The sequence below is a fragment of the Homo sapiens genome, chromosome 5 (genome assembly GCF_000001405.40).
Source record: "Homo sapiens chromosome 5, GRCh38.p14 Primary Assembly".
NCBI classification, from domain to species: Eukaryota; Metazoa; Chordata; class Mammalia; order Primates; family Hominidae; genus Homo; species Homo sapiens.
In genome coordinates this window covers 50,610,884-50,634,046 of record NC_000005.10, presented here as the reverse complement: position 1 = coordinate 50,634,046, position 23,163 = coordinate 50,610,884, and the positions used below count along the sequence as shown (strand labels likewise).

Genomic DNA, 23,163 nt, shown 5'->3' with positions numbered 1-23,163 from the left:
GAGTTCTCACATACTCTCACCTTCATCCCACCCCCAGTTTACATTAGGGTTCACTCTTTGTGTGGTACAGGCCTATGAGTTTTGCAAAATGCATAATGTCATGTACCCATCATTACATTATTACCAAACTATGTTCAATCCCCTAAAAATCGCCTGTTTCAGAACTATTTATCTCCCTACCCATCCCCAAACCCCTGGCAACCACTGATCTTTTTTTTTTTGTTGTTGTTACTTGGTTTTTATTTCATAATCATAAACTTAACTCAACTCTGCAATCCAGCTAGTACGGAAGGGAACAAGGGAAACATGGAACCCAAAGGGAACTGCAGCAAGAGCACAAAGATTCTAGGATATTGCAAGCAAATGTGGTGGAGGGGTGCTCTCCTGAGCTACATAAGGAATGGGTCTGGTGGTTAAAATAAAACACAAGTCAAACTCATTAGAATTGTCCACAGTCAGCAATAGTGATCTTCTTGCTGGTCTTGCCATTCCTGTACCCAAAGTGCTCCATGGCTTCCACAATATTCATGTGTTCTTTCACCTTGCCAAAGGCCACATGCTTGCCATCCAAACACTCAGTCTTGGCAGTGCAGATGAAAAACTGGGAACCATTTGTGTTGGGTCCAGCATTTGCCATGGACAAGATGCCAGAACCTGTATGCTTTCGGATGAGGTTCTCATCATGAAATTTCTCCACCAGTGCCATTATGGTGTGTGAAGTCACCACCCCGACACATAAACCTTGGAATAATTCTGTGAAAGCAGGAACCCTTATAACAAAATCCTTTCTCTCCAGTGCTCAGAGCATGAAACTTTTCTGCTGTCTTTGGAATCTTGTCTGCAAACAGTTTGATGGAGATGCGGCCCGAGGGCTTGGCGTCGACGGCGATGTCAAAAAACACGATGGGTTTGACCATGGCTGATAGTACAGGGCTCCCAGCGACGGTGGCATCTGCAAAGATAACCACTGATCTTTTTACTGTCTTTATAGTTTGGCCTTTTGCAGAATGTCATATAGTTGAAATCACAGTATGTACCCTTTTCAGACTGGCTTCTTTCACTTAGCAAAATATATTTGTTTTTTCTGTATCTTTTTGTGGCTTGATAGTTTTTTCCTTTTAGCACTGAATAATATTCCACTGTATGAATATACCACAGTTTGCTTATGTAATCACCTATTGAAGGACATCTTGGTTGCTTCCAAGTTTTGGCAATTAGTCTTCATTAATTTTTTCTTTTTTTTTTTTTTTTTTTTGAGACAGAGTCTTGCTCTGTCACCCAGGCTGGAGTGAAGTGGCATGATCTCAGCTCACTGCAACCTCCGCCTCCCAGGTTCAAGTCATTCTCTTCCTCAGCCTCTGGAGTAGCTGGAATTACAGGTGTGCACCACCACGCCTGGCTAGTCTTCATGAATATTTATAGGACTGTATAGAATTAAGAGCCATCAAAGGGGATCCCTGAATTCTTTCTGTTTTTCTTACAAATACCAGTTTTAAGGTCAAGATTTACTACCCCATGCAACAGTGTGCCACATTTTAAATTTTAAATTTTTGACTGTTTGTCTAAAGGTCTCAGGCAACCTAAAAGGCCAGTTAGAAGTCTTTCATCCTCTAACAAAGGATGGATCGTAAAATGAAATACTGTTGAGACTCTCCCCTTGGGTACTAATTCTGCAAAAACCTAGAATCTCAGAGACAAGAGACAAATATTTGGAGTGGATCATTAGATGTAATGACAAAAGGAGTCACTTCAACATTCATAACAAAGATCAAAGATTGTTGTATTTTTTATATGGGAGACACCAGACAAGCTTATACTTAGTTACTAGTTCAGAGGATACACCACCACATCCTCTGGCATGAGTACAACCTTATAAGCCATTGTCTCCAGCTGGCACTGTGATTGAGTCTTTAATAAAATATTCGCCATTCTATAATAATAATAATTTTGGTTAGTGATAGGATAAATGGTGGACCAGGTGAGTGCAGTGAATATCTACTCATTTGTTATACAACAAGTTCTTTGAATAGAAGGATGTAGAACAGGATATTATGGCAGTATGTATAAAGCATTCAATGTACCCACGGAGAGTGGTGATCAGAGAAACATGATGTCAGGTCAAGCAAATGTAATTCAAGGATATAAAGCTAGATTCCATTTACAACATTCCTTGTTGCCTTTATCATAGAGGAGCTCCAGTAAAATCAACAAGTCTGACAAAAGGTGACTGTTTTTTTCACCCAGGATATGTTATTTTGTGCTTAGCCTTGGTCCTTGTTGCTTGTGTGTTGGACACCTAATAGTCTTGACAGCTAAATAGGCTTTGGTAAGGGACAGTGGTAAAGTCCAACATGTTGCTAAACCTATATGTATTCTCTACTGCTACCACCAATGTTGCTGTTTATTAGCCTTCTGAGCAAGCAATGTAGTGCCTGGTGAAAGAAGTTGTTTCATACCTTCATATTTATTTGATAACCTTCCTGATGATAGTTTGGTGAGTATTCATATTAAGCACAAATATTCTTACACTCTGGCTCATTTTCTGTAGTTCATCTACGTATTTTTCCCCAAAACTCATTGTCACCAATCCTTCAATCTTTGTCCTTCCAAGTCCCTAATTATCTTTTTTTTTTTTTTTTTGAGACGGAGTTTCGCTTTGTTGCCCAGGCTGGAGTGCAGTGGTGCAATCTTGGCTCACTGCAACTTCTGCCTCCTGGATTCAAGAGATTCTCCCGCCTCAGCCTCTCGAGTAGCTGGGACTACAGGCACACACCACCACACCTGGCTAATTTTTGTATTTTTAGTAAAGATGGAGTTTCACCATGTTAGCCAGGCTGGTTTCGAACTCCTGACCTCAGACAATCCGCCTGTCTTGTCCTCCCAAAGTTCTGGGATTACAAGTGTGAGCCACCAGTCCTGGCCCCAAGTCCCTAATTACCTAGACAAATTTTTAGCTGCCACATATAAATCAGTAATATCTCTCCTTCTAGACATCGTGGACAACTGATTACATAGGCTGAATTTCTTTTAAAATTGCATTCAAGTAGGTTATAATGCCTAAGCAATCTACTTTTGGCTGTTGCTGTGATGTTGTACAGCGACTTCTGTAAATCAGGCTCAATTTTTCCCTCACTAATCAACTGGCCATAGAGAAATTCCCATGAAGACATAGGTATAGATTCTATTATTCCTACCTGCGGATGAAGCAGGATAGTTAACTGGAAAACACTTATTTCATGATAAGCAGCTCATGTTGTCATATTTTTTTGCATTGGTAAGACTTCAGTTTCTACAATGGTCCAGGATCAATCAAGAATTCTTTAAAGAAAACATTTATTTTGTCAAAGAAAGAAGCATTTTGTTCCAAATCCTAAGAACCATAGTAGTGGTGTGTCAGAGGCTCTATTGCATCTGGATATAAAAACAAAGGGGCACAATATTCCTGACCAGTTGGGAATTATTATCTTGATCTCAATCCCATCAAAAGATGGCAGCATGACAAGTCATAAAGTAAAAGGACCAGGTGATAAAATGAGGTCTCCAAAATCCAATGCATCAAAGTTCTCAATTAGTGGTCAGGACTGCAACGTGCCATAATTTTTCACTTTGGAAGGTATACCTTGAGTATATTGAGTGTATGAGGCAAGTTAAAAGGTCATGCAGCTGAGCGCGGTGGCTCACGCTTGTAATCCCAGAACTTAGGGAAGCTGAGGCGGGCGGATCATGAGGTCAGGAGTTCAAGACCAGCTTGGCCAACATGATGAAACCCCGTCTCTACTAAAAATACAAAAATTAGTGGGGCATGGTGGCGCCCTCCGGTAGTCCCAGCTACTTGGGAGGCTGAGGCAGCAGAATCGCTTGAACCTTGAAGGCGGAGGTTGCAGTGAGCTAAGTTGGCACCACTGCATCCAGCCTGAGTGACGCAGTGAGACTCTGTCTCTTAAAAAGAATTAAAAAATAAAAATAAAAATCTTAAAAGTTTGTGATAAACACCTCTGTTAGCCTCTGATCTTTATAATAATTATCACACACACACAAACCAAACACCACACATAGAGGAAACAGTAAAAGATTAAAGGACACAGCTAAAAATACATTTGTATTGTTACTTCCCAAAGTTCTAAAATTATGAGAAGGGACTAGTGAATCTTTAAAAAATATTGATTATCCAACACTTTGTAATAATGACTGTAATTGCATTGAAGGCTACTGAACATGCACATATTCCTAAAATTTTTCTGTTATGGTATCTGGTTTGCGAAAGGAACAAAATTAAACACAGTTCCTTGGCAATTTTTCTCTCTTCCACTCTACTCATTGGCATATGTGCCACATGTGTTTATTGTAAAATAGGAATAAGATTCAGAGGTCAAGAATCAAAGTGAGTCAGAGTAGGAAAAGCCAGACTCAAGCGGAACAGAAGGGCAGCAAACCCCAAAATTAAAGGGTAAATTTAAACACAAGTAGAAGTGGTTCAAAAGCTAAGGGGATCCTCATAGTTCATGAAAAACAAGTATTCACGCAGGTAACAGACTCTAATCTGCTGCAAGCCAATGTGCTATTCTCTTCATGTTATTTATATCCCTCAGAATACCTCAAAGTTCCCGAGAGCAGTCAGTATTTAACTCTAAACTATATCATATATATGATATATTTATTATATATAATATATATATATTTATTATTATTTTTTTTGAGATGGAGTTTTGCTCTTGTTGCCCAGGTTGGAGTGCAATGGCACTATTTCAGCTCACCACAACCTCTGCCTCCCGGGCTCAAGTGATTCTCTTGCCTCAGTGTCCTGAGTAGCTGGGATTACAGGCATGTGCCACCACGCCTGGTTAATTTTGTATTTTTAATAGAGACGGGGTTTCTCCATGTTGGTCAGGCTGGTCTGGAACACCCATCCTCAGGAGATCCACCTGCCTCGGCCTCCCAAAGTGCTGGGATTATAGGTGTGAGCCAACGTGCCCAGCCAACTATATCATATTTTAATTGTGTAGTGATAACCCTCATCAAAAGAAGTATTCATTATGGTCAGTGTACTCTGCTTACTTACCACTGAAGCTTAACACAAAATTGTTGAAATAAACATGCATATTGAAGTACTCAGCTAGCTATTGAGGCAATACAGGTTTCTAGATTTACTCATTTTTTTTCACTGTACACAAATGTCATGTGTGTCATGATAAACCCATGTGTGTGCATATATTGATTAAATATTATATTTCTTTTTACTTTTATTACTATTATTGAGAAAGGGTCTCACTCTGTCGCCCAGGCTGGAGTGCAGTGGCACGATCTCAGCTGACTGCAGCCTTGTCCTCCGAAAGCCCTAGACCCTATAACATAACAGAATATGTATGTTTCTAATTTGTGCAATATTGAAGCAGGAATACTAGATAGTACTGTCATCTTTTCCTATTGCATTTATTTTGGTGTGGAAAAATATAATAATTGGCTTCAATCACTAAGTCTATTTCATTCAAGAATATTTAAATATAATCCAAACCATCTTAAGTACATTTTGTGATACAAGAGGATGGTATCTTCTATTTGGAAATATAAAATCCCAGGGTCTCACAGTTTAAGTATACTTTCCAGGGGTATGTGTAAAACAAGAATCCCACTTTACAAAATTAATAGAAAAAATATGCTAATTGGAAGGAGAGGCTACTGATTGAGGATAAAGTGGAAATTTTCACATACTGCTAATTACACTTCAATGGAGTAAGAAAAAAAGAACTGGAAATAGTACCCTATAAAACTTCTGAAATGAAATTACAGTTTGTCTCTCTCTCTCTGTTTCTTTTTTTTTTCTTGAGATGGAGTTTCACTCTTGTTGCCCAGGCGGGAGTGCAATGGTGCTATCTGAGCACACTGCAACCTTCGCCTCCCGGGTTTAAGTGATTCTTTTGCCTCAGCCTCCCAAGTAGCTGGGATTACAGGCATGCACCACCATGCCCAGCTAATTTTTTGTATTTTTAGTGACCCACCACGCCTGGCTGTCTCCTCTTTTTAGAATTAGGAGAACTGATTTTTTTCAATGCTAAACTGGCACTGTACTATGTTTTCAAGAAAGCAATATGGTGAAATGAAAGAAGCTGGATAGCATGTTTTGTTAGCTGGTGTCGAGTTCTTTAAGTTCCATGAGCCTATTGTGTCCTCTCTACATCTCAAAAAGAAGAGAGAAGAAACCTGCATCTAATTACTGAAGCAGTTTCATTCAGCAAATGTAATTGCATCACAGGCACATCTCAAATTAGAAATCTTGATCTTGGTCTCTGTCATTTCCATTTTAAACTGGGACTGAATAACCTGTTTTGCCACTCAAAATAATAGCCAGTGTCTCTTTCTTATTAAAAAATGTGATCTTTTGCTTGATTACCTAATTATGTCACCTGCACCTTACATGAGGCAGATAGAAGAGTCTTCCAGTCTGCCAGAGCAGATCTACCAAACTAGACTGCACATACAAATTACCTGGGGATCCTGATAAATTGCAGATTCTGAGTCTGCTTTCAAACAAGTCCTCAAGTCATGCTGATGGTATTGGTCCCAGGATCCTCCATTGAGTAGCAAGTTCTTAGAATTAAAAAGTGGGCAAGTATAAGGCTGGGTGCAGTGGCTCACGCCTGTAATCCCAGCACTTTGGGAGGCCAAGGCGGGTGGATCACCTGAGGTCAGGAGTTCGAGACCAGCCTGCCCAACATGGTGAAACCCCGTCTCTACTAAAAATACAAAAAATTAGCCAGGTGTGGTGGCACACACCTATAATCCCAGCTACTCAGAAAGCTGAGGCAGAAGAATTGCTTGAACCTGGTAGGTGGAGGTTGCAGTGAGCCAAGATCACGCCATTGCACTCCAGCCTGGGCAACAACAGCAAAACTCCATTAAAAAAAAAAAAAGGCAAGTTTATAAACATGGAAACGTGGACAATTGTAAGCAATATTAGAGAACTGTAGAAAACAATTTTTTACGTGATATGTTTAACCTATTTACAATAAAACCCATTAGGGTCCTAGGAATTTCTGGAACTGCTTTACTTGTGAGAAACATGATCCTAAGATGCCCATTTGTTTATCAGTACATCAATTTTCTCCTTCTTAAATTGGTATAATTATTTTCTTCCAAGAAGCCTAGCACACTTTTGTTGCTGTCATTGAAAGAGGGCATATAAGGGTTATGGCTGCTATTTGGAGAAATGCATTAGAAAATAAAAAGCTTGAAAAAGTCATATTACTGAGAAAAATATTGAATGAAAATAAGAAAGATTAAACTGAAATAAATAATGAGTCAGTAAGGTATGCACTGTTAAACACTTGATGAGATTTCCCAAGTATTGACATGCTGATAACTTGAAATAATGGGAGAAAAGGTCAATCTGAATTCTTAAAATGTTGAAGGCTGGGAATAAGAAGTAATATATCACAGAATCTGATAGTAAAATTTTTATTTATTTTATGGGAGAAGAATGGGAGACTAACAGACAATAGGAATAGGAAAGAATTAATAGAAATAGCAAAAAGAAGTGTATCTGCAATTAGTAATATAATACAAGAGGAAATTGTGTAGAGATATTTAAAGAAAGATTGATGAAATTTAGATTTATGGAGAAATATCCTAATAAAGACATTATTTATAATCAACTGTTCATAATTATTATATAATTCTGGCAGTTTTTAGCATATAAATGTAAGGCAGAATGATCTAATATAAAATGTATAAATGGGACAACATATAATTCTGCTTAGGAAATTGAATAAATAAAGTAGTGATTTAGGATTTGCATTAATATAAAAAAATTTAAAAAATGGTTTACATTTTGTTTGAAAAGGATGATAAATAGGAAAAGAGCAATTTAGTACATTGGTCACCAAAGAAATACAAATTGAAACAATAAGATGCCTTCTCACATCTTTGCCAGATTTGTAGGTACAAAAACAGTGGTAGTTGTATTGGTTGGAGAACAGAAAGACGACACTTTCATATGCGGCTGATTAGAGCACACATTGGTATCATTATTTCTGAGATGCAATTTGAAAATATATACCATCAGCCTCAAAGATGATTATGACCATGTTTCACTACTTTCTTGGAAATCATTATTAATGCATGTATAGATTGATATTTACTGTAGTATTACTTAATATAGTGAGTTGAGTACAACCTTCACTCCCAAAAAACATGAGGTAGGGGTGAATTAGTTAAATATACAATCACAACGAGTTATAACAAAATGCATTTACTTAAAATCACACTTATAAGACTATTAATGGCAATAAACATGATTTGATATAATGTTTTAAAAAATTAGGGGAATTCTATTCCTAGCGTTGTGGTAGACTAGATTTGCTGAATCACTATCCTGCTATATAAAATCTGCAAATACCAGATAAAATGTACATGTCATTTTTCAAAAGTATATTACTGACTTGAATAGAAATTAAGGTGAACCACATAGGCCAAGCATAAGGAGAATACATAAATCCAGAGAGGTATGCAGACCCCCAAACCAGAGGCTTCCATAAGGACAGTCCTGGCCCTAGTACCCTGAGCTTCAATTTTTATGACCACCTGGAATATGGGAAAGTGTGAGACAAAACCTAGTGCCTGCCCAGTATAACAGTCTTACAGGAGAAAACTCCTGAAAGCCAGAGATACGAAGGACTATAATTTCAGTGAAAGGATAAACTAGATAAAAACCTGTTCCTCAGGGGGAGACAACCAGGAAATTTTCCTGCCTCAAACTCGGTGCTATTTAGAGGAAAAATTACAAGGCCATCTTCACATGAATTTGTGGTTTAAATTTTCACTGTAAGTGTAATTAAAAAAAAAAACCCGCACATCAAACTGATAATTTATTTTATCATTATCCCATGTTGGTATTACCTCCAAACACAAGACGAAGGCAAAGTGTCTTTGGAGAAACCCACATTCACCCCACGTCTCAAAGAATGGCCACAGGTAAAATTTCATCCAAAATGAGAAAAAACTAAGACTCTTAGAAAACTCATGAGGAAATAAACATCATGAGCAGAAAGAGAATTATGCCCATAAAGATTTCAGATATTAGAATGATTATATTACTATAAAAGCTATGTTTAATATGTTTAAAAAATCAATGAGGTGTGCCAGGAATATAAATTGAGACAGTGTGTGTATCTTATATTAAGCAGATTGAAACTGAATTTAAGAGATCTTTTAGAAATAAAAAATATAATGAAAATTAAAAACTAAATGGACAGGTTAAACACAATATTGGATAGAACCAAAAAGAAAATAAGTGAGTTGGAAGTTAGACTAAAAAAATTATGCTGAAGACAGTACAGAGGAGGAAAGGAAAATTGATATGTGAAATAGAGGTTGAAAAATTAGAGTATCTAATCAGATCTGCAAAAGAAAAATTGAATTGGGGAAAGGTTATATTTAAGGTTATATTTAATATCTGAGGGGTTTTCATCATTGGAATTTATTCATGTTCAAGGAAACCTGGAAAGTTTTCTAACACATTAAAGAGCTTTAATTATAAGTTCCAAATTCTTCTTAGAAGAAGAGAACCAGCAGGCCCAGACATTTTTACTGGTGAGTTCTATCAAATATTTTCAAGAAATGGATTATTTCCATTTTATAAGAACAACTCCAGAATAAAAAAAGGTCCATTTGTTAGTTCATTTTATGAGGCCAATACAATCTTGATACCAATGTTATACGAGAAATGTGTAAGACAGGAAGATTAGACGCCAACTTTCCTCATGAACCTAATGGCAAACATTTTAAATTAAAAGTTATAAAATTAAGTTTAGAAACCTATAAAAAAGATAATATAGTATGAAAATTGTGTTTATTCCATGAATGCAAGGATTTCTAACAATAGAAAAAAATCTATGTATAATTCATCACATTAACAAGTTAAAGGAGGAAAAGCAAATCATCATTGTAGGAGAGGCAAAAAGTGAATTCAATAAAATAAAAATTTAACTTTGACAAATCTTGCTTAACAAACAAGAAATAGAAGAGCTTTCAGTGTTTGCTTATAAATCAGAAACTATTCTTGGACTTTCAAGCAGAGTTGATTTAATACAGGTGACTGATTACACAAGTGATGGAAGCCAAATCAGGCTTGGTGAGTCAGCAGCTCAAGAGCAAGAAACCAGTACTGCCCCTAGGACTAGAACGATAATGGGAGAAGGTGCTGTTACCAGAGCCAAGAGGCCAGAACTTCAGGCAGGTTGCTAGAGATAATGGGAATTGGGTCCATAGCGGGAGGGGCTATCTGGTGGGAAGTAGCCCTACAGAGAAGAGGCAGGCTTTTACGGCATCTCTCACTGGATAGCTTACTGGGAAAATGGAGGGCAAAGGAGACTGGAAAATAAATGTTATTTTCCTGAAACATAGAACAGAGTTGGAGAGTAATTTGGGAGGGATGTGGGGGCAAATTTATCAGGACCCAAGACATGATTAAAGCAGGCAGGGAGAAGAGATGCTGGTCAAAGCAGGTGGACTTTGCTGATATTTCAAAGTCCTAGTTTTAAAACTTGGAGGTAGATACATTATTATCTTATTACTAATCAGATATTTTATACATATTTAATATATTTATATATTAAATATTTATACTTCAAAACTTCTACAAACACTGTAATCTCATTATTGTTTTCTATACTATTATATACAATATACAAATACAGAAATATAGAAATGTACCTCAGTTTGAAAGAGAATTTGAATATGAGGCAAAAAGATACCCCAAAATTATAGTTACATTACAAGAACTGAATTTAAGAAGGAAGAAGCAAATTGCAAGAGATAAGACCAAGCCTCTTTATTAATGATCGTTCTAAATCCAAGTGGTATAAATTTAGGGATGCACATCTGGATCGCAATGCAACTAAGAAAGCTTGTGTGTCAATAACCATATTTATCCTATGTGAAGAAATGATAGTTTCATAGGAGAAGGTTAATTGGCATGGAGTCTGTAAAAGAGAAGTTTGGATAGATGATTGAGCTATATATTTGTCAAATAATATCTAAAGGTAAAAAGAAATCTAGTTCACAGAGGCGAATCTCTGATTTTTAAATTTGCATTAACAGAAATAACATTGGAAGGGAGTATAGTAAGATTTTAATAGTGACTGTTTCTGCCAATGGTTTCTGTTTTATTGTTTACTATTTTCGGTATATTTCCAATGTTTCTTAAGAAGTGTTTATTATTTAAAAAATGAGAAAACAGCAATGAGTAATTCAGTAAAATAAAATGTTTCAAAATTGTGACTGCTATGATTATGAGCCAATTATGAAAGAAAGAGACACAGATAGAAATAGGGTGACCAATCTTTCAACTTAGGAATGAAGGATTTTCTGGATGGGGAATTTTTGTTGCTAAAATCAGGATAGTAGGGGACATATTGGGACTGTGGGAAAACCCTACAGGGATTTATTTCCTAACTATGAATTTCTATCTTGGTCTAGAGACATGACTGTTCTCATAAATAGGTAGAGTAGATGTGGTATCTCTGGAATGAGATTTAAAATCTTTACATAGCTTGCCCTATTAAAAGTAGACACATGCTTGTGAGAGAATATCATATGCTTTTGAAAGCTAATGTCTTAACTAATTCGCTGCGATCAAAGCTCTTGAAGACTGTGATGTAACAGAGATTCTTAGGTATCAGTGAAGATATGGAGATGAAAAAAGGGAAGTTGAAAAAAGAAGCTGAGAGATAAGCATGGAAATCATTTTCCAACCTCATTTTTCCAATCTCCATTTTCCTGTATTGAGAAGTGAAAATATGTTTTCTAGAGATAAAGTTCTAGAAATGAACTCTGACATAGATATTTTAAAACCAATTTCAGAAACAAAATAATATGTGCACCTAGAGTTGTAATTTATGTCCTTTTGTCTGTCTTTATCCTGTAGTTAAGTTTCCCTTGGGATCCCTTAGGGAAAATGGAGTAGTACATTTGACAAGGCAGGACTTCAATTTTCTCTCTCCTTTTCCTTCTTTCTTTCTTTCTTTTCTTTTTTTTTCTTTCTTTCTTTCTTTCTTTCTTTCTTTCTTTCTTTCTTTTCTTTCTTTCTTTTTCTCTCTTCTTTCTCTTTTTCTTCTTCTTTCTCTTTTTTCTTTCTTTCTTTTTTCTTTCTTCCTTTCCTTCCTTCCTTTTTCTTTTCTTTCCTTCTTTCTCTCTTTCTTTGTTCCTCTCTCTTGTTTTCTCTTCTCTCTCTTTCTTTCCCTTTCTTTCTTTCTTTCTTTCTTTCTTTCTTTCTTTCTTTCTTTCTTCTTTCTTTCTTTCTTTCTTTCTTTCTTCTTTCTCTCTTTCTCTCTCTCTCCCTCCCTCCCTTCCTTCCTTCCTTCCTTCCTTCCTTCCTTCCTTCCTCTTCTTCCTTTCTCCTTTTTTTTTTTTGAGATGATCTCGCTTTGTCACCCAGGCTAGAGTGCAGTGATGTGATCATAGCTTAATGCAGCCTCTCTCTCCTGGGCTCAAGCAATCCTCCCACCTCAGCTTCCAGAGTACCTGGGGCTACAGGTGCGTGCCACCATGCCCAGCTAAAGGATTTGAATTTTCTTACATATCTTGGCCCCATAGAGTGGTTCTAAACCTTGGCTGCACATGTTTATTACCTGAGAAAAGTTTAAAATAACCTAATGCTCAGGTCACACCCTAGACTTTAGGGGTGGGACAAGCATTAATATTTTTTAACTCTCTTAGAATTAAGACCCACTAATGTTTTAGCACTGCAATTCCTATAAAGAGTACAGATGTGAGTAGATTTGTTACAGTATTGTTGTATTCATCTGTTTTCATGCTGCTGATAAAGACATACCTGAGACTGGGCAATTTACAAAAGAAAGAGGTTTAATGGACGTACAATTCCACATGGGTGGGGAGGCCTTACAATCATGGTGGAGGACAAAGAGGAGCAAGTTACATCTTACATGGATGGCAGCAGGCAAAGAGAGAGCTTGTGCAGGGAAGCTTCCATTTTAAAAATGATCAGATCTCATGAGACTTACTCACTAACACAAGAACAGCACAGGAAAGACCCATCCTCATGATTCAATTATCTCCCACTGGGCCCCTCCCACAACATGTGGGAATTATGGGAGCTACAAGATGAGATTGGGTGTGGACACAGAGCCAAACCATTCAATTGTCATCACTCAAGGCAGATGAGCATATAGAAATCTATCAGTTGTAAGGAATTGGACTACGTTTAAGAGAATAATAATTAAGTTAGAAGAAATGTTTGGTCCTGCTTAAGGGCTAGGATAGATGAGGCACAATAGAATCATGTGGTGAGCTTTAAAAATGCCCAGGCCCTACTCTGTGTCAATTAAATCAGAATCCAAAATCTCTGCTTGAGTGTGTCTAGTGTATTGGTAAAAGAAAACAGTGATTTTGATATGCAGCCAGTTAAGAGCTGGTATCCTCAAGGATCATGATGTGACACAGCTGTTTCAGAAGGGTCAATCTCCATACTCACACTTTAGAAGAGAAGAAAAGGCAAAATGACAAAACAATCAAGCAAAAGGGCTGGAAGAGCTGGTAGATAACAGGGTGTCAACTTGAATTAATTCAGCTATTTGGTAAAGATTAGCTGGAGTAAAATTTTACTTAAAGAAATTCCAGTTAGTCAAATGGGATGAACATCCTTTTATGGAAACGATATCACGCTTTTTGAATGATCTGAGAAAGACTGGAAGCATTAGAGGTGAAGTATATCCATTTGCTCGATGGGAAAAGATTTTGTTTTATTTAATTTACATAATGTGATATGCTTGGCCACCTGGAGTAGTGCCTGAAAGGGGATGTAAAATGGAAAATGTAGTCAGTGAGACTGATTAATAACCATGGACAGAAAAATAGGCCAAGTGGAAAAACTTATTCACATAATTGTTTCATTTTGCTGACTGCAAAAGGATTTGTTTTGGAAGTGATTTCTGCTATTTAACCTAGTGGATTGATAGATCACAGAAAGGTCTTAGAAATTACATTATGTAATTTTGTTCATAACATGAAATTAGCTTGAATCAAAAAATGTATACCATGTTTTGTATCTACCTTCTAAGACATTTGTCTTGAGAAATTAATGATTCTACAACATAAACAGTCATTGTGAAAGGAAGTAAACAGATAACAGAGGGCTTTCATAATAATCATGGACTCAAGATTATCAAATTTTAAAAAGACATACCTCATTTTCCTTTATTTAAACATAAAACAAATGAGAGGAAACAGAAATAGCTCATAATTTTATTTATCTGATAAAACATGCTGACATAAAATATAATTCATGCACCCAGTAAGAAAATCAAAAAATTAAATAAAGGTAAAAATGAAATATAAAATTCTCCTTCCTCTAGTTTCTTACCCCCAGACATCTAGAATCTCTCCTTAAGATAATCACTGTTGACAATTTCTTGAGTATCTTTTTAAAAATGACCTTAATACACATCCCCCACATAGAATATAGATCTTAAACAAGTTAGAAAATAAAATTTTATCTTTTAGTATTACACAAAATGATGTTCAGAACTACGCTTTGTATTTTTTTTTTTTCTAGAGACGAGGTCTCACTGTGTTGTCCAGGTTGGTCTCAGACTTCTGGGCTCAAGCAATCCTCCCGCCTCAGTCTACAAAAGTGTTGGGATTACAAGCATGAGATAAAGTCTCGCCTGGCCTAGGCTTTCTATTTTTGTTTACTAATTTACCTTCAAGATATTCTTACTTTTAAAAACTGTATTGTGTAAATATATTTTTTATTTAAACAATAGGCTACGAATAACATTAATAACATATCTTGGTTTATGTATTTTACAAGATTCTCCATGTGATAAATTCCAACCCGCGAAGTTGCTATAGAGCATATGAATTTAACATTTTTTAATTGCTGTGACCTAATATGATCCTAAAACATGGCCCTAGTTTATATTCCTATGAGAATGTCTAATACCTACAATCTTGCTAACATTGACTGCTATTGCATTTTAAAGACTCATTACTTTGATTGGATTGATGTTGAACATCTTCTGTTAATCCTGGCCATTTGCATTTCTTTTTCTACCTATTAATCTCCCTATGTATAGTATTGCATTATTTGTCTTTTTTGTCTCATCGATCGACAAAGATTAAAGTTATTGGCAGTAGGGAAAATGGAGAAAAAAATCAAAATTCAAATACCGTACAGTACGACATTTTGGAGAATAATTTGATTCTATATATTGAAGTTTAAATTGTTTTTAATCTTTGACCCAGTTATTCTATTTCTAGTAATTTTTCTACCCGAATAATAATACAGGAAAAAAACCTTTTAGAGAATATTCTTATGTTTGTGATACAATATTTACAGGCAACATAAATTCTCATCCAGAGATCAGAGTAAATATTATATAGTATATCTGTAGAATGAAATGTACCTTGCTGTTTAAATGAATAAATTAGTTATTATCATAAAATAAATGTCATGTAAAGACATTTATTTTGTGATATATACAATTAGAAAAACAAGTTATTAAAAATAACATGATTTTTTGTAAAATGTTTTTATTTTGTTTTTAATTGACATAATAATTGCACGTGTTTATGGGGTGCAGTGTGATGTTTTAGTGCATGTGTACATTGCATAATGATCAAATTTAAAAATTAATTGTATTGATAGGAAAAGTGTTTGGATATTTGTATACCTAAATGCTAACAGTGATGATCTCTGGAATGTGGAACTGCTGGTAGTTTTTCCCTTTTTCTTTTAGATATTTTTGTACTTATTTTTAATAATAAACATATACTAATTTTATAATAAAAATAACAATGAAGTCCTTTCCATTTTGAAAAATTAATTCCAATAGAAAAATATTGTACTCGAGCCACTTTCCAGGGTTTTCTTATTCTTAGTGCTGGTATAAGGTACCAGTGATATTATATTTTCAGATACATTTGGCTTTTCTGCCTTATGGTTGAAGATGAGCTTAGGAAGTTTTGCTGCCTAATTTTTGGGCGTTTGAGCCAATGCTTGGTGCACAAAAAGCACCACATCAACTTTAAAGAGAATATTCTGCTTCGTTAGACTGTATTCCCTACTTTTTATAGTATTTATTAGCACCAGAACTCTGTGACTGTTTCCCAAAGAACAAGAGAGAAAGATAAAGGAAAGTGAGAAGCAACAAAACTAGATTTAATTAATACTCTGGCTTGTCAGCAGCTTTCATGAAAGATTTGTTTGTTGAAGAAGTTGAACCTATCAGCTTAAACAGGGATTAACTCTGCCAACTCTGACAGAGCATGGACAATTAAGAGTTTATTGGAAATTAATTGAAAATAATACAGTGTTGTGAGATGGGAGGAAGATGATTTAAAGGAAATTATGCCAAGTGTTTTGAATCAGCCAAGGATAAACAAATGCAGACTATCATTTGATGGAGGTATTTTAAACTGATAACATGATTCGAAGTATAAGAATGGCAAATTGTGAAGAATGAATAAAATTACAGAGATAAATAGCAAAAATGTGAAACTAAAATAAAGAGGAACAGTGAGTAAATGGGGTTAGCTGAGAATATGGTTTAACAGGGCATACTGTATTCATTTATGAAGAAATTTCAATCCTCAAAATGCTACTCGTCTTAGTCTGTGTAGGCTACTGTAACAAAATACCATAAGCTGAGTAACTTATAAACAACAGAAATTTCTTACAGTTATGCAGGCTGGGAAGTCCAATATCAAGGCACATTTATCATCTGGGGTGAGGTCCACCCTTCTGGCTCATAGATGGCAACTTCCTGCTATATCCCCATACTTTGGAAGGGGCCAATGAGCTCTCTGGGATCTCTTTTATAAGGGCACAAATCCCATTCACGAGAATCTTGTCCTCATGACCTAATCACCTCCCCAAGGCTCTACCTCCTAACACGAATACCCTGGGGGTTAGGATTTCAATATACAAATTCGGGGGGACATAAACATTCAGTCTGTGACACTGCCATTTCGTCAGTAAGAATTTTCATGAACTCACTATTAAGATTTATGTTTATGTTTTTTATGCTGATGTTCTCACTTTATAATATTGTTTGTCTGCATAGTTTAAAGAAAAGGACAATGCCCAGTTAGAATAGGAGGTGTCTTTTGTTGGCCAGCAAAATATTTTAAGACACCTTGAGTGTAAATACATAAAGATCATTAAGGTAATATCATTTTGTTCTTGTTCTAGATCCACATGTTTCACTCAAGATCCCAGAGAGAAAACGTATGAAAACACATTAGAAGACAATAAACATCCTTACAATGCTAGCCAATGTTTATTATTGCTTTCTATGTGTGAGGAATTGTGTTAAGCACTTAAAAAGATGTCATCACTCATAATTATCATAACACCTGAAGAAGTAGGTGGTGTGATTTTCTCCAATTTAGATATTATAGGAACTGAAACAACTTGCCCACTAAACAGGCAATTGAAAGAGATAGGATTTCTATAGAAAATTCCCAGATCCACAGGTAGTGTTCCTATTCACATCATCAGTGTTCCCTTAGTGGTTTTGATATTACACCTAATACTATTTACTACACAATTAAAGCATCCACCCTATCATGGGATTTACTCTCAAGAATAGAGCACTGAGCGTGATAAATAGTATCCACTTTGGAATGCATGTTTCTATCCAGCTACTTAATATGATATAAGTTCATTGGACATTAAGGCCAGATTTCTTGACATGCTTTACCCTCAAATTAACAAGTTTGGCTCATTCAATTGTGGACCTTTAACCCTTAGGCCAGATAGTATATGAGTCCTAGAGTAGTGGAAAAAGGTAACTGAATTTACAAAATTTGACTCATCAAATTCTGTAATAATTCAATATATTGAGGAAACTTTAGGTGCATAGTAAAATTATAATTTCATATTGTTGCACAGACTCAGGCAGATGAAAGAGACTCCAATAGTGCTCATGTAGCACCCAGACAGTCAGTTGATCGTCTCTGTGCTGAAAGGATTTAAGAGTGAAGAATTTGCTCCAATGTATTTTTCAATATCTCATTGTTTTAAAATAATATTTGAAATAATACCTAGGAATCCAACTTACAAGGGATGTGAAGGACCTCTTCAAGGAGAAATACAAACCACTGCTCAAGGAAATGAAAGAGGACACAAACAAATGGAAGAACATTCCATGCTCATGGATAGGAAGAATCAATATCATGAAAATGGCCATACTGCCCAAGGTAATTTATAGATTCAATGCCATCCCCATGAAGCTACCAATGACTTTCTTCACAGAATTAGAAAAAACTACTTTAAAGTTCATATGGAACCAAAAAAAGAGCCTGCACTGCCAAGTCAATCCTAAGCAAAAAGAACAAAGCTGGAGGCATCATGTTACCTGACTTCAAACTATACTACAAGGCTACAGTAACCAAAACAGCATTGTACTGGTACCAAAACAGAGATATAGATCAATGGAACAGAACAGAGACCTCAGAAATAATACCACACATCTACAACCATCTGATCTTTGACAAACCTGACAAAAACAAGCAATGGGGAAAGGATTCCCTATTTAATAAATGGTGCTGGGAAAACTGGCTAGCCATATGTAGAAAGCTGAAACTGGATCTTACACCTTATACAAAAATTCATTCAAGATGGATTAAAGACTTGAATGTTAGACCTAAAACCATAAAAACCCTAGAAGAAAACCTAGGCAATACCATTCAGGACATAGGCATGGGCAAGGACTTCATATCTAAAACACCAAAAGCAATGGCAACTAAAGCCAAAATTGACAAATGGGATCTAATTAAACTAAAGAGCTTCTGCACAGCAAAAGAAACTACCATCAGAGTGAACATGCAACCTACAGAATGGGAGAAAATGTTTGCAATCTACTCATCCGACAAAGGGCTAATATCCGGAATCTACAAAGAACTCCAACAAATTTACAAGAAAAAAGCAAACAACCCCATCAAAATGTGGGCGAAGGATATGAACAGACACTTCTCAAAAGAAGACATCTGTGCAGCCAAAAAACACATGAAAAAATGCTCATCATCACTGGCCATCAGAGAAATGCAAATCAAAACCACAATGAGATACCATCTCACACCACTTAGAATGGCGATCATTAAAAAGTCAGGAAACAACAGGTGCTGGAGAGGATGTGGAGAAATAAGAACACTTTTACACTGTTGGTGGGACTGTAAACTAGTTCAACCATTGTGGAAGACAGTGTGGCGATTCCTCAAGGATCTAGAACTAGAAATACCATTTGACCTAGCCATCCCATTACTGGGTATATACCTAAAGGATTATTCATCATGCTGCTATAAAGACACATGCACACATATGTTTATTGCAGCACTATTCCCAATAGCAAAGACTTGGAACCAACCCAAATGTCCATCAATGATAGACTGGATTAAGAAAATGTGGCACATATACACCATGGAATACCATGCAGCCATAAAAAATGATGAGTTCATGTCCTTTGTAGGGACATGGATGAAGCTGGAAACCATCATTCTCAGGAAACTATTGCAAGGACAAAAAACCAAACACCGCATGTTCTCACTCATAGGTGGGAATTGAACAATGAGAACACATGGGCACAGGAAAGGGAACATCACACACTGGGGCCTGTTGTGGGGTCGGAGGCTGGGGGAGGGATAGCATTAGGAGATATACCTAATGTAAATGATGAGTTAATGGGTGCAGCACACCAGCATGGCACATGTATGAATATGTAACAAACCTGCACGTTGTGCACATGTACCCTAGAACTTAAAGTATGATAAAAAACAATTTAAAATATTCTGCAGGCACAGTGACTGTTTTGGCTTCTCTTAATTTACAAGGACCTTTGTCTTATAAGACTCTTTTTTTTAAGAGATGGGAATCTTGCTATGTTGTCCACTCTGGAGTGCAGTGGCTATTCACAGGCTTGATCATTGCATACTACAGTCTTGAACTCCTGGACTCAAGTCTCCCAGTGGCTGGGACTACAGGTGAGTGCCTACCACACCTGGCCTGATTTACAGATTTTTGACATCTATTATAGTTAAATGTATTTTCAGCATTTGCATATTAAAGGAATAATATTGATGCTTAACTTCATTAGTGATCAGGGAATTTCAAACTTAAAAAAATATTTTTTCATCCCTTATAGTATATTTAAAAATTCATTGCTGATAAGGATTCAGGGATGCCAACATTGTACATTGGTAGTGAGAATGTAAATTGGAAACTTTATGTAATCTGGCAGTATTTTTTTAAAAATCCTTTTGAACTTGCAGTTCTACTTTTGGGACTTGAATTTGTGGAAAGTAAAGCACCCGCGGGAAAGAATATTGTTGCCCCTTGAACAACATAGGGTTAGGGGAGCTGGCCTCCCACACAGTGAAAAATCCGCATACAACTTTTGACTCCGCCCAAACTATGAATAACCTATTGTTGACCAGAAGGCTTATTGATAACGTGTTACATTTAAGATATATTTTGCATGTTATGTGTATTATATACTGTATTCTTACAATAAACTAAGCTACAGAAAAGAAATCATAATCAAGAAAATTGTAAGGAAGAGAAAAATATATGACCCATTCATTAAGTGGAAGTGGATCATCCTAAAGGTCTTCATTATTGTTGTCTTCATGTTGAGTAGGCAGAGGAGGAGGAGGAGCTGGTCCTTCTGTCTTAGGGTAGCAGAAGTGGAAGAGGGGGACGGGATGGAAGGGGAAGCAGAAAAGGCAAGCACACTTGGTGAAACTTTACAAAAATACATCATTATTTCTGTCTATTTTGCTTTTTCATTTCTCTAAAAACATTTCGGTGTAGTACCCATCCGTCTTCCACCATTTGCCTTAGTTTTAGTTCCTGTATCATGGAAGGGTCTATGTCATAAAAGAAGTCAAAAGTAGTCTTGAATAATCAAAACCCTTTTGCCAGATTGTTGAATGCCAATTTGTTTTCTGGCACTGCTTTTCCTATGTCTTCTTCCTCATTATCTGGCACTGGTTAGGAAGTACTCATCTCCATCAAGTCATCTTTTGTTAATTCCTCTGGTGTGGTGTCTATTAGCTCTTAACTTCCTCTGAGATCCATATCTTGCAACCCTTCACTCCACACCTTTTTTTCCCTTCATATCCATACTTCTTTCCAGGGTTTTTTCTTAATTGGGTTTGTCATAATTCTGTAGTTATGCACAACATCTGGACACAAATTGTACTTCTGTCCAGCGGGAACTTATTGTTTTGAGTTTCATGGTTTTCATGACTTTTTCTATATCACCTGATGACATCTTCAAAGGTGTAAGCCTTCCAGACTTCCATGATGTTCTCTCTATTGGAGTTCTCTTTTGTAGTGTTGACAAACCTTTCCATAGAGTGCCATGTGCAGAGCCTTAAAGGTCCTTGTGACTCCCTTATCTAGAGGCTGAATTAGAGATGTGTTTGGGGGAAAAGGAGACCACTTCGGTGCCTTTGGTGTTGGACTCACGGGGTTCTGGGTGGCCAGGGGGCATTTTCCAATTAAACAACAACAAAAAAAATACTTTAAAAAGCAGTCCCTTACTGTCAAGGTACTTCTGACTTCAGGGACAAAGCGCTGATGGAACCAATCCAGAAAAAGCATTCTCATAGTCCAGGCCTTCTTGTTGTACAACCAAAAGACTGGAAACTAGTGTTTCTCTTTTCCCTCTCAAGACTCAGGGGATAGCAGCTTTATAGTTAAGGGCAGCCCTGATCATAAACCCGACTACATTTGCACAAAGCAGTAGAGTTAGCCTATCCCTTCCTGCCTTAAATCTTGGTGCTTGCTTCTCCTCCTTATGAATAAATGTCCTTTGGGGCTTCCCCCTCCCCCCCACCCCAGAATAGGGCACTTTCAGCTGCATTAATACCTGTTCAGGCAGATATCCTTTCTCCTCAATGTTTTTCTTAATGGCATTTGAGAATTCACTTGCTGGCTCTTGGTTGGCAGAAGTTGCTACTCCCATTATCCTGACATTTTTAAAACCAAACCACTTTCTAAAATTATCAAATCATCCTTTGCTGGCATTAAATTCTCCAGCTTTAGATCTTTCACCTTCCTTTTACTTTAAGTTGTCAAATAATGACTTCGCTATTTCTTGAATCAAATAAGAGTCTATAGGTATGTCTTTCTTATAGCAATTCTGTACCCACATAAAAGCTGCATTTTGAACATGAGATAAGAAAAGACAAGGTTTTCATGTCTGTTGGCATGAAATGAGGGCCTTATGAATTTCCCCCCCTTTTTTTAAGGGACCTTACACTGTATTCATTTATTTTGAAATGGCAGGCAGCTGCAGACCTCAATCTATAGGAAGCAATCTAACTTTTTCTCATAATGTCACAACTTTTCTCTGCTTCTTGGGAGCACTCCGAGCATCACTTGTGGCACTTTGTATTGGTCTCATGGTGTTATTCAAGATTTATAGTATTACACTAAGCACAATGAAAAGAGAACTGTGAGAGAACACACTATTTACTTAGATACAGAATTTACTGAAGAGACCAAGTGTTCATGGCAGATACTGGCAACAGGAGCTCACCACAGTAGCAACAGGGGGTGGCTACAAAATTATTATAATAGTACATACACTGGAAAGTAGACATTGAAGAATATTCCAAAAGATGCCAGGGTTGGAGGGGAGTGAGGGTTGAAAAATTATTATTGGGTACGATGTTCACTATTGGGGTGATGAGTACAGTAAAATCTCAGAGTTCACCACTAGCAATATATCCAAATAACAAAACAACCACATAATAAAAGTACGCTTGTACCTAGCACATTTATAAAAATAAAATAAAAATAATTATTCTGGTAGTACAGTATGTGCTACAGTTAATTGTATGCAGTTGTGGTTTAATACAGCATCTTTATGTTTGTTTATGTTTCTCTTGACTGCAAATGGTGACTTGTACGGTTTGTGTGCATACATTTTGATAAGTTTTAACTTTTTGTAATAGATTTGTGTATATTTTATAGTAATAAATGATAAAATAGATTAATATATACATATACTTTATGCATTCATGATGTACATAGCTTTTTCTTAATTTTTTTTTATATTTCTAGGCTATGCAGTTAGTCTGCTAGTTTTTTCAATTGCAATTCTCCAAAACTTTTTCTGATATATTTATTTTTTAAAAAAA

The 23,163-nt window shown here is 36.3% G+C and overlaps 1 pseudogene; it reads right to left on the bottom strand.

Annotated features, from left to right (window-relative positions):
- LOC202319 (peptidylprolyl isomerase A like 4G pseudogene) lies at positions 226 to 967 on the bottom strand (annotated as a pseudogene).